General features: G+C 38.5%; 1 protein-coding gene across 22 annotated transcripts in view; it reads left to right on the top strand.

Annotated features, from left to right (window-relative positions):
* MBTD1 (mbt domain containing 1) overlaps nucleotides 1-12,756 on the top strand; it is an 83,534-nt gene that overhangs the window by 41,666 nt on the left and 29,112 nt on the right. For 19 of the 22 annotated variants that reach the window (XM_011524926.4, XM_047436322.1, XM_011524928.3 and 16 more), the window contains 3 exons: nucleotides 249-363; nucleotides 1,877-1,959; nucleotides 12,288-12,405. In XM_011524926.4, the coding sequence (XP_011523228.1) occupies nucleotides 249-363; nucleotides 1,877-1,959; nucleotides 12,288-12,405 (316 nt within the window). Of the gene's footprint in view, nucleotides 1-248; nucleotides 364-1,874; nucleotides 1,960-9,862; nucleotides 9,980-12,287; nucleotides 12,406-12,756 lie in introns of those variants that run through there. The other 3 variants (XM_047436320.1, XM_011524923.3, XM_047436324.1) reach the window with 2 other exon arrangements.

Below are 12,756 nucleotides of genomic sequence, written 5' to 3'. Positions count from 1 at the left end.
TTAACATATTAATTTGCATATTGCTGTTGTAGTCTATGCCAGCTCTGCTACCCATATTAGATAACTACATTGTAGCAGAACTCCAGAAAAAAATTCTCATGTTAAAATTCTTGTATGTTTCCTCTGCTTTAATAATTTTCTAAACCCTCAATGTTTACTTAAGCAGAATGTGTAGTATGCAGTCCAGTTAAATTGTGGTGGTGAGGGGATGAAAAAGAATCCTATTTACTTAACTTTTCTTGTTTTAGGGTAAGCCTCCAACAAAGAAAGCAAAAGTTCTTCAGAAACAACCTTTAGTTGCTAAGCTAGCCGCATATGCTCAGTATCAAGCTACCTTGCAAAATCAAGCAAAGACAAAAGCAGGTAATATTGGTGAATCTGACAGAGGTGAAATATATGACATTGATTCATTTAGTTTTAATTAATGACATTGTAATTTTGAATTCTGTTTAACTAGCTGTTTCTATGTCCTGTCAGCACATTACAGCTCTAAGCTTCCTAATAGTTGTTTTGATTTCAATAAATTACTCTAGAAGAGTATAGTTGCATGCATAAGTTCAAGTGCTTTTGGCAGTCTCCTTAATGTTTTTATTTGGTTTATTATTTACTTTTCATGTACAGATTCTTTGAATTGTGAAGATATTAGGCAAAGAAATGGGATGTTCAGCAGGCTTCAAAGGGATTGAGGGAAGAAGAGTAGTAAGAGGAGATTAAGGAAAGGACCATTTCCAATAGATTTTTTTTTTTTTTTTTTTTTTTTTTTGGAGACAGAGTCTTGCTCTGTCACTCAGGCTAGAGTTCAGTGGCGTGATCTCGGCTCACTGTAACCTCTGCCTCATGGGTTCGAACAATTCTCATGTCTCAGCCTCCCAAGTAGCTGAGACTACAGGCGCACGCCACCACACTTGGCTTATTTTTGTATTTTTAGTAGAGATAGGGTTTCACCATGTTGGCCAGGCTGGTCTAGAACTCCAGACCTCAAATGATCCACCCACCTCAGCCTCCCAAAGTGCTGGGAATACAGGTGTGAGCCACAGCGCCCAGCCAGAAGATTTTTAATAGAAGTAAATAGAAAGTGAAGCAATAAGTGAGTAAATAATGAGGAGAGCAATAAGAGAGTAAATAGTGAGAAGGGCAATAAGTGAGTAAATAGAAGAGGCAATAAGTGAGTAAATAGAAGTAAATAGAAAGTGAGGTAATTAAAAGTGATATGGGGTAGGTATCTCACTGAGGTACATGGCAAGAACTGAATGGAAATAAAAGCACAAAAGCAGCCACAACAGTGTTTGTCATTCTGTACACTTCTCTCAACTTCTCTTTGTTCCCCTTAACCAAAGAGCTTGTACCTCACTTCCTCAGGAGCATGTGTCATGTATAGAACAGTTAAGAAACTCCTGGCCAGGCGTGGTGGCTCACACCTGTAATCCCAGGGCCAAGACAGGTGGATCACGAGGTCAGGAGTTGAAGACCAGCCTGGCCAATATGGTGAAACCCCGTCTCTACTAAAAATACAAAAATTAGCTGGGTGTGGTGGCATGCACCTGTAGTCCCAGATGCTCGGGAGGCTGAGGCAGGAGAATCACTTGAACCTGGGAAGCAGAAGTTCCAGTGAGCCAAGATCATGCCACTGCACTCCAGCCTAGGTGTCAGAGGGAGACTCAGTCTCAAAAACATAAAGAAACTCCTGTTTGTTTGCAAATATGATATAAGCCAAAGCTCATGCTATTTAGAGAAGTTATTTGATCTTTACATAAAGAAAACGTTCTTTAAATGGGATAAATTAATTTTATGTCCTTTCACACATTTTAACAATGATAACCTTCTTATAAATAAAAGATTTGAGAATTATAATACATCTAAATTTGTTTCATTTTAGCAGTCTCCATGGAAGGTTTCAGCTGGGGTAACTACATCAATAGCAATAGCTTTATAGCAGCTCCGGTTACCTGTTTTAAACATGTAAGTACAGAATTTCTCACCTTATTTTGAAGTACTTAGTCATTGTTTAAATCTGAAGGTACAATAACACCTAAGCATCTTATCCTTAGAAGGTGTTTGTTTTTATGTCTTGTAACTGAAATGCTTCTTTTATTATTATACTTAATAATAGTTAACAAGAACTTCTGTAAGTTTTGTAAGTACAAGTTTCCTATAGAGAAATTGCAGTTTGAAGTTATTTTAAACAGGGAGAAGTACTAGTCTTCTCTTATAAATACTAATTTTCTTTTATATTTATTTATTTTTTAAATTTTTTTGTAAAGACATGGTCTCGCTGTGTTGCCCAGGCTGGTGTCAAACTCCTGGCATCAAGCAGTCCTCCCACCTTTGCCTCCCAAAATGCTGGGATTACAGGTATGAGCCACCATACCCAGCCTCATCAGATGTTCATATTAAGTTGAACTGCTAGCTTTGTCCGGGCACAGTGGCTCAACTGTATTCCTAGCAACTTGGGAGAATGAGGCAGGAGGATCACTTGAGGTCAGGAGTTCAAGACCATCCTGGGCTACAGAGTGAGACTTCTTTTCTACAAAAAATGAAAGTAAATGAAATTGCTAGTATTGTATATCAAAAATATGCATATTGACAATGTCATACGATTTGACCTAACAAACCATTCATTGTGTATGTTACTTAAATCTGCAATTTGAACTGATAATTCAGAAGAGGAAGGATCTTTTTTCTAATTTTTTTGTCTCCAAATGTTAAGTCACAAAAACAAGGAACTATTAGTAACATAGTATTGTGAGCTAAAATATGTGCTATATATATATATCATGAGAAACCCTTTAAAAGGTTTTCTTTTCAGCAAGTGGATTGTTACAGAGCATTTAAAATAATTTAGAATTATGTTTAAAATTTATCTGATGACAAGTTCTTTCCTTTTGATTATTTTATTCCTTTAGATTTGATTAATTCTGTCCAATACTTGTTTAACCTGACTACAACTTTAATTAATACTTAAAGATCTTTTCTGCTGCTATACATGTTTAAGAAGAAAAGAGAATTTAGAAAATACATGAACTTTTGTTTGCATTTAACATTTTGTTAACTTAGGGCTCTAGGCCGGGCACGGTGGCTCACGCCTGTAATCCCAGCACTTTGGGAGGCCGAAGCAGGCATATCACCTGAGGTCGGGAGTTCAAGACCAGCCTGGCCAACATGGTGAAACCCCGTTTCTACTAAAAATACAAAAATTAGCCAGGGGTGATGGTGGGCACCTGTAGTCCCAGCTACTCGAGAGGCTGAGGCATGAGAATCACTTGAACCCAGGAGGCAGAGGTTGCAGTGAGCTGAGATTACGCCACTGCACTCCAGCCTGGGCAATAGAGCGACACTCAGTCTCAAAAAAAAAAAAAAAAAAAAAATTAGGGCTTTATTTTTAGATAACAGCATATGAACAAAGCTGAGCTTAGGTTCCTGTTGTAGAAATCTAAGTGAATTTTCACTGATTCATGGCCATTAAAGGAGTTTGATCAAAGTCAAGCAGGTTAATTTGCTAATTCTCATTCTTGAAAATACAATATGAAGCCCTTAGTCAGTGACATCTTGCCTTAAATGGAATCTTATTTCTGTGTAAAGTAGGTGATTTATTTTGCTGTAATGTTGATAATAGTGTCACATTTGTGAGAAATATTCCATACACAGCAATAGCAGCTTTAAAGAGAGATCTTTAAAAAGAAAATCTTTAACTCTCTTCTCTTGGGATATTGCTTTCTTGACGCTCAGAATTAGATTAAGTTCTCAGTTACAGTAACTCTTTCATCTCAGATTCCTGGAACATTTGTCTTTTGTCTCCTTCGGAATGGCCTTTCTCTCTCTTTGTATCTCCTTTTATATTATAAACCATATCAGACTGTTTTCTGTAAGTAGTCAGGGTATTAAAAAAAATGGCATTTCAACCCCAGAAGCATAACATTTTGTTTTCTGTCCAAATCTTTGAATTGTTATACTATATTAAAGTTATTTATGAGAAAATCTCTATGGTAATAATGAACTTGATTGACTTTGTTCAATTCTGCCTTTTTTGAGATTGAAATGTTCTATCAGGGAATCAAGCAGCTAACCTTACCACATGATTAATGATAAGAATGTGGAGCCTCTGCTTTCTCACTCAGAAGTGAGGCATCTGTTTCTCAATTATGTGGACCCAGTGCCTTCCTGTTCCATTTACCTCTCTTTACTGCCTTCTTATCAAACAGGAAAAATCTGTCTTAGTAATTCCTTGGTATGTTTTTGTACAAAGAGCTTGCTCTCTTAACTGGCATATTCATTTGAAGCCATTTTGTTAAGGGGGCCACACTTCATTGCTGCACTTGATTTTGTCCTTTAGAGTTGACTCTTCCTGGTTGTCCCCTCCGAAACAGTTTTCTGGGTCTCTAAGGAGAGTTACTAGCTTTGTCTTTAGAAAACCTATAGTCAGGAGCTACTAGGAGTACAAGATCCTGCCTTGTATCATCAAAGTCTTCTAAGACTTGATACTTGCTCTGAAACTGGTTCATTAGTCAGGAAGGCCTCTTTGTTCCAGACTCTACACCTGCCTTCTCTTCTACTTGAGTACAAGTCGGGAGCCTTTCCTGCTCCTAGGGGATTCTTTTTCAAACATAATTTATGAAAGAACACCCAGCATGTAACATGTAACACGGAAGCGGAGCTGTTGTGATTGAGTCAGGAATTGGGATGGGGACGCTGTCAGAGCCCTGGCTTCTTTAACTTAACCCAACCTCTTCTTCTAGAATAAGGATCCCAGATAAATACTTTCTGTTTTCCAGCACTTAGATATTACTGTGATTAGTTCTAAAATCATAGAATTTCAAGAATATAATTCTTCTTTCCATGGTCTGTCTGTAAGCTTCTGAGAAAGAACTTTCTACAGAGTAGATCATAGGACTATATCTTTTTTGATAATTCCTGTAACTATTTATAGTGGCTTATACTCAGTCACTCAATTACAACAGTATTGGACAATTTTTTTTTTATAATCGGCAGTGGAAATCAAGCCCCAATTGACATTTAATATTTCTACTTAGGCTGGGCACAATGGTTTATACCTGTAATCCCAACACTTTGGGAGGCCAAGGTAGGAAGATGGCTTGAGGCCAGGAGTTTGAGGCCAGCCTGGTCAACATAGCAAGACCTTGTCTCTACAAAAGTGTATGTGTATGTGTATATATATATGATGTGCATATATACATATGTGTGTATGTATATATATATGTGTGTGTTTATACATATATATACACACATACACACACACATATATACTACTAAAAAATCTGTGTATTATGATTGGCCGATATGTCTTTTATTGTATCTAGGGGTTAGTTTTTCAGACCTTTTATTTAAGCATCATAATTGCCCTTTTTTTTTTTCTTTTCTTTACTTGCCATACATTGGCAAGAATTCCCCTTTTCTCTAACAAAAATCTTAGACCTCAGAACACAGGATAAGAGGAAACTGCGTTGATTGTTCTGGCAGAGATGGGGTGTTGCTGCCAGAGCCTTGGCTCCTGACATTTGAACACCCCATCGTTGGCAGTTCCTGAGGCTGGAAACCACTAAAATTGGGTAATATCACTTTTAATTAATCCTAAATCACAAAGCTAGAAGGCATCTTTAAAATCATCTGGTTCAGCTAGTCCATCTCTTATAAATGAAGAATACTTGCTACTTTGTTGAGTAGCTGGACTATAATTTTCAGCTTTGGGCTTTAACCCATTTTTCATAATGCAAGTCTTTTTTTTTTTTTAATGTGCTTTTTAATTAAGCCCCTAAGAGCAGTATCCATATCTATCCTAATGGTGGAAAAATCTCCAAAATAGTAATACAGTATTATATGCCAGTTAGGTGCAATGTATAGATCAAAGAAATTCACAGATTATTTTCTATTAGTAATTTAACTTTAACCCAGCAGAGCCTTCAGTTGATGTCTGTATATTCAGAACATTTGGCTTTAAAGCACTCTAGCCAAGAGCAGTGGCTCATGCCTGTAATCCCAGCATTTTGGGAGGCCAAGGTAGGAGGATCAGTTGAGCCCAGGAGTTTGAGACTAGCATGAGCAACATAGTGAGACCTCATTTCTACAAAAAAATTAGCTGGGCATGGTGGCACATGCCTGTAGTCCCAGCTACTCAGGAGGCTGAAGGGGAAGAATTGCTTGAGCCCAGGAGGTCAGGGCTGCAGTTAGCCCTGATCGTACCACTGCACTCCAGCCTAGGTGACAGAATGAGACACTGTCTCAAAAAATAAATAAAAATATATGCTCTTCAGGCCAGGCACGGTGACTCACGCCTGTAATCCCAGCACTTTGGGAGGCCGAGGCAGGCGGATCACAAGGTCAGCAGTTCAAGACCAGCCTGATCAACATGGTGAAACCCCGTCTCTACTAAAAATAGAAAAAAAATTAGCTAGACTTGGGAGGCTGAGGCAGGAGAATTGCTTGAAACCGGAAGGTGGAGGTTGCAGTGAGCTGAGATTGCGCCACTGCACTCTAGCCTAAGCAATAAGAGCAAAATTCCATCTCAAAAATAAATAGATAAATAAATTAAGCACTCTTCATTATTTTTTAATTACTTAAAGACTAAATTGAAGCACTTCTATTTCCCATTATTTGCCATGTGAAATCAAGTAAAACTTTTTTTTTCCTGGGTATTGTAGCACGGGCTAAAATGTATAAATGTACATAAAGTCATTTTCTTTCAGTTTTATATTTACAGACTTCAGATTTCTTCTGTTTGGTACCTAAACTAATAATCCCATGTCTTATTGATGCTGTCTTTACTAAGATCAGAAATGTTGAAATCATCCCATTTTCTCCCTCAAATACAGTTGTAGTTTGTACCAAAAAAAAAAAAAAAAGTCATTTGTACACATAGATGCAGAAACTTTTCAGCTGAGTTTATCATACTTTTTCTTTTCTTTTCTTTTCTTTTTTTTTTTGAGGCGGAGTCTCACTCTTTCAGTCAGGCTGGAGTGCAGTGGTGTGATCTCGACTCACTGCAACCTCTGCTTCCCGGGTTCAATCAATTCTCTTGCCTCAGCCTCCTGAGTAGCTGGGATTACAGGCCTACACAACCACACTCGGCTAATTTTTGTATTTTTAGTAGAGACAAGGTTTCACCATGTTGGTCAGGCTGTTCTCGAACTCCTGACCTCGTGATCTGTCCACCTCGGCCTCCCAAAGTGCTGGGATTACAGGTGTGAGCCACCGCGCCTGGCCGCATACTTTTTCATTCTGCCTCCACAGATACCCTCTTGTTACTTACGTGACATACTCTAATCCTCTTTCTTTTGCCTGACCTATATGTATGTCAGCTTTTTTGAAGGGATAAAGTTACCATGTTTTTTTGCAGTGTGTATCCCATATACTTTTAGGTTTTAAGGAAAGAAAAATAAAAGCCCTTTTGTGTATGTACAGTAGCAATAGTTTACAGTAAAACTCATTATCTATTTCTCAGTTATGTGCTTATTAGTAAAATCTTTTTCAAGTAGAGTCATTTTTGGTTTTTTTTTTCCCTAGTCGTGACCCCACACACAGGACTCTATTAAAGGTTAGAAATAAATCATAATACTTCATCTCCATTTTAACGAAAGTTAAAATCTTCAATGTAGCATTCTAGATTGCAGGATTTTCCTTCTAATGGAAATAAAACTTAAATTAGTTTCTGGTACTTCTTAGTGCTCCATCTCAGTTAGCTAGTCTGAGTGTTGCCATGAAATAAACTCTCTGCGGGAAAGCAGTGGACTCTAACATAATAAACATCACCTGTCTTGTCTTTTTTTTTTTTTTTTTAAACAGTCTCACTCCTGTTGCCCAGGCTAGAGTCCAGTAGCACGATTACAGCTCACTGCAGCCTCAACTTCTTGGGCTCAGGTGACTCTCCCACCTCAGCCTCACAAGTAGCTGGGACTACAGGCACACACCACCATGCCCAGATAATTTTTTGTATTAATTTTTTTCTATTTTTAGTAAAGACGGGGTTTCGCCATGTTGTCCAGGCTGTTGCAAACTGCTGGGTACAAGCAATCCCCCAACCTTGGCCTCCCAAAGTACTGGGATTACAGGCATGAGCCATCATGCCTGGCCCTGTCTTTCCGTTGTTTTAAAGAAAGCCTAACTTAAATTTTTTTTTCCTTTTTTTTTTTTTCTTTTTTTTTTATGAGATGTAGTCTTGCTCTGTCACCCAGGCTGGAGTGTAATGGCACCATCTTGGCTCACTGCAAACTTCGCCTCCTGGGTTCAAGCAATTCTTGTGTCTCAGCCTCCTGACTAGCTGGGACTACAGGTGCGTGCCACCACACCCGGCTAATTTTTGTGTTTTGGGTAGAGACAGGGTTTCACCTTGTTGGTCAGGCTGGTCTTGAACTCCTGGCCTCAAGTGATCTGCCCACCTTGGCCTCCCAAAGTCCTTGGCGTGAGCCACCACACCATGCCAATTCTTTAGTGATATTGGTTTAATATGGTTTTTTAAAAAAAATTATGGACTGTTTTATGCATGTTGTTGTTGTTGTTGTTGTTGTTGTTGTTGTTGTTGTTGTTTTGAGACAGAGTCTTGCTCTGTTGCCCAGGCTGGAGTGCAGTAGCACAATCTTGGCTCACTGCAGCCTCTGCCTCCTGGGTTCAAGTGATTCTCCTGCCTCAGCCTCCCAAGTAGCTAGAACTACAGGCATGTGCCACCATACCCAGCTAATTTTTGTATTTTTAATAGAGACAGGATTTCTCCATATTGGCCAGGCTGCTCTTGAACTCCTGACCTCAGGTGATCCACCTGCCTCAGCCTCCCAAAGTGCTGGGATTACAGGCGTGAGCCACCACACCTGGCCGCCTTTCAAATTAGTAACCAGTGCTTCCTATCTTTTTACATATACATAGCATTATCTCAGCCTTAATCTTACTTCCACCCTAGGCCTCCCATTTTCCTTTTTGTCCTCTCCTTGGACTCCCCATCTGCCTGCTACCACCACCCCAAAAGATAGATTCTGGTATCAAATCAAAAGATGAGTAGAGGACAGGCACAGTGGCTCATGCCTGTAATCCCAGTACTTTGGGAGGCTGAGGCAGGCAGATCGTCTGAGGTCACAAGTTAGAGAACAGCCTGGCCAACATGGCAAAACTAAAAATACAAAAATTAGCCAGGCTTGGTGGCATGCGCCTGTAATCCCAGCTACTCGGGAGGCTGAGGCAAGAGAATGGCTTGGACCCAGGAGGCGGAGGTTGCAGTGAGCCGAGATCGCGCCACTTCACTCCAGCCTGGGCGACAGAGTAAGACTCTGTCTCAAAAAAAAGGTGAGTGGACTTTATGGAGAAGGCAGGAACAGTTTTTCTTTTCTTTTTCTACTTTCTACCAGAAAATTCTGTAAGTAGTTAGGAACTCTCATTTCTTTCTACTTAATTTTCTGTAATGTTTTCTCCCCTTCCAAATAATATTTCATCATCCTCTGCTAGATGTACTTTGCCTGTTAGTCTGAAGACATTTTGATGATGGCTTTTTGTACATTTGCCATCTCATTGGGATAAATTATTCCTTCTTGGTTACCTATATGCAACCTCAGGTCTTGTCTCTGCCCACTTACAGATTAATATTAAAGATTGTATGGTTGTCTTTGGTTGGCAGCTCTGCAGAGGGAAATCTGTATCTCTGCCATAAAGCATCGTGTGTGCAGTGCATCAACCTCCTGAGAGTCTGAATACTAGCCAGCTGAGCTGTTGGACCATCTGGGAATGATCTTGAAGTACAGCAAATAAGACTTCCCACCCACTTATTTTCTTACAGTCATGTGGAGGTTGTCATACATTTGTGTTGGGGACCCCTCAGCATTTGGATTTGGCCATGTCCTGCAGGACCTGATGACAGCTTACCTTGCAGGGAAGGAGAGTCGCTCCCAGATAGCCCTCACGAGTGGCCCTGGAGCAGGAAGTGGTGGAGCAGATCTTCCTTGTTTGGGAGGAGCCTGAGGTGGACCTCGCGTCCTGAGTCTGGAAGGTAAATTTGTTGTTACCTGTAAATTATGGTTCTGCTAGTTCATGCTATGCCAATCCAGACTTTCAGAGGTATCCCTCCTGCCAGCAAGAGAAGACAGATGACTTGGATGAAGATGGCTGTCAAGCCCTGGGTCATTTAGTCTTCCACACTTAAGAATATTCATTTTAAACAAAAGGGCAGACATATCTATGAAATTACCGTGTTATTTCAACACATTGAGCACATACTATGCTATGACCGTGGTGCTCTTTCTTGTTGATGTTTTTGTTTCTTCACTTTTTTTCTTAGAATGAACCATATGGATTGGTTTAAGAGGGCCTAGCAGAACCACAACCTTACAGGCAAGAACAAATGTCACTTTCTGCTACTTTCTCCTATACCAATCCAGACTGTAGGGACCAAAACACAGTATCCTCCACCAAAGTGAACATTATTTTTTAAGCAAGCATATTGACATTTTGTTTTCTTTAATAAAATAATATTAAAAGTTTTCTCCAACAAATGTTAAGGCTTTAAAAAAATAAAAGTCTATGACACATTTAGCTCAAAAAGGAGTACTGTATGCCAAACTTACTTACCAGTGTGCCAACCTGACCCCCAGCTCATTAGCATAAGCACGCCTCTTTCTTCTCAGTGAAAAATAAACCCAATTCACAGATTTGGTAACCAGACAGAGGGATGGATGCTGCACTGCATTCATTTAACTGCATCTATCTACTCGAATAGGTACATCCTCACAGAAATTAATACATGATCTTTGTGTTAATATATGTTAGTTTATTCTATGTTACCTGTCTTCTTTCTAGTGTCTCCTTTTTAATCATATCTGCTGGCAATAGGGATGGCCCTACAGTCTAGAATGATATAGGGGAAAGATAGCAGAACCTGAAGAGTCCAGTCTTTCAGTTTAAAGAAGAGGTAGTCACAATGAATATATTATTTTTTGCACAAGTCGGGGAGATAGTTATATGTACCCTTCCAGAACCGCAAATAGTTGAGCTTGTCCATTTCTCCAAGTTACTGAGGTAAACTCATTGCTTACTACTTAAACCAGTAGCCATTAATTGATTCTGTCTTTGGTTTCTAGACTTATCCAACTTCAGTATTTGACATTCTCTTCCTCTCCTTCAGAAATTCCAGAAACTACTAAGAGGGTAGGGGTTGAATGTTGTTTTAGGCTAATCCTCCTGTTGGGTGAGCATCCACCAAAGTAGGAGGGGCCTTGCATGGAGGACATTTGCCTAATGTTCAAATTGGCTAGTTCATGTAACTCCTAGATATCTTTGCTCATCTTTGAGCTTTGAGGCTATTTTGGTTTTTCCTGATTTGTTCATACTATCAAGTCTTTTATAACCTCACATAATCCTTTTCTTTATGATCAACATTCTAAATTGAATGAGGAACTGACTGTCCAGAGCAACACAAACTGTTTAGTGTTATCAGCATTTATATTCTTAAATTTGCTTATTTGATTTAATTTACCATTGCATAAGTTCCAAGTAATTGTGAATTGCCTTGAGTTTTAAAGATTAAAATATAATGGAAACAATACTTTGGGAACATCTGTTAGATTTCAGAAAATCCCTTCATGATGCTCATTTAATTGATTTTCCGAGTCCCCATCTTAACCATTTGCTGTGGGAGGCTAGTGATTACCGGTTCTAACATTGGAAGTTTTCTCTTTATAGTAATTTCTACATGAGAAATTTTGAAATAATAATTTAAATAGTTTACCATGGTACTCATCTCCAAAACTCTTCAACTCCACCTTCTTAATAACTTTATCCAGTGCTTTTCCCTCACGTCCATCTATGTGGACTAGATTTCTAATCTATGAATTTAATTTAAATTGAAAATTTTCATTTCTCTTATTCATGTTGTTGGAAACCACACTGCTGATTGGAATTGTTTTTCTTTCTGCTCTTAGGCCAGATCTTTTAAAAGTAGAAATTAGGGTGAAGTGTATTCACTCAGTACATATTAAAAATTTCTTAAATCAGTTTAATCCTATTAAATCTGCTATTGAGTTTGTAATTCCACTCATAGAAAAATCGCTGCTTAAATCTCATATTAGGACAGTATCAGATTTTGAAGTCAGCATGAATCTAGTCTAATATATGTGAATTTTCTCTTTATCTTGTTTGTCCCTGAAACTGGCTTTTTCCAGATAGAATTCTAGGAAACAAACGGAATTAAAATGACATTTTTAGTTTAATATTCCTATTATTGATGGTACTGCTTAATTTTCATTGATATGTTTTAGGCTTTATGTTAATAAGACAATAATTTAATGATTTTTATGTGACAGGCACCTATGGGGACCTGCTGGGGTGATATCTCAGAAAATGTGAGAGTAGAAGTTCCCAATACAGACTGCAGCCTACCTACCAAAGTCTTCTGGATTGCTGGAATTGTAAAATTAGCAGGTGAAAAGCATGAATAATAGTTTAGTAGAAAATGCAGAGATCCTTGTAACCTTTCGTAAAAAAAGCATGTTTATAAATTTTGCAAGTATTGCCAAATAAAAAATATGTTATGATATAGGGCAGGGGTTGGCAAATTGTTTTCTGTGAAAAGCCAAACAAATATTTTCAACTTTGCAGGCCATATGATCTCTGTCACAGCTATCCGTCTCTATCATTATAGCATGAAAGCACCCTTAGCAATACATAAACAAATGGACATGATTGTGTTCCAGTAGAACTTTATTTACAGGAAATTTGAATTTCATATAATAGTTATGTATCATGAAATATCCTTTTTTTCTTTTCAACCAT

The sequence above is a fragment of the Homo sapiens genome, chromosome 17 (genome assembly GCF_000001405.40).
Source record: "Homo sapiens chromosome 17, GRCh38.p14 Primary Assembly".
Classification (NCBI taxonomy): domain Eukaryota; kingdom Metazoa; phylum Chordata; class Mammalia; order Primates; family Hominidae; genus Homo; species Homo sapiens.
This window is presented reverse-complemented; position numbering and strand designations above follow the sequence as displayed.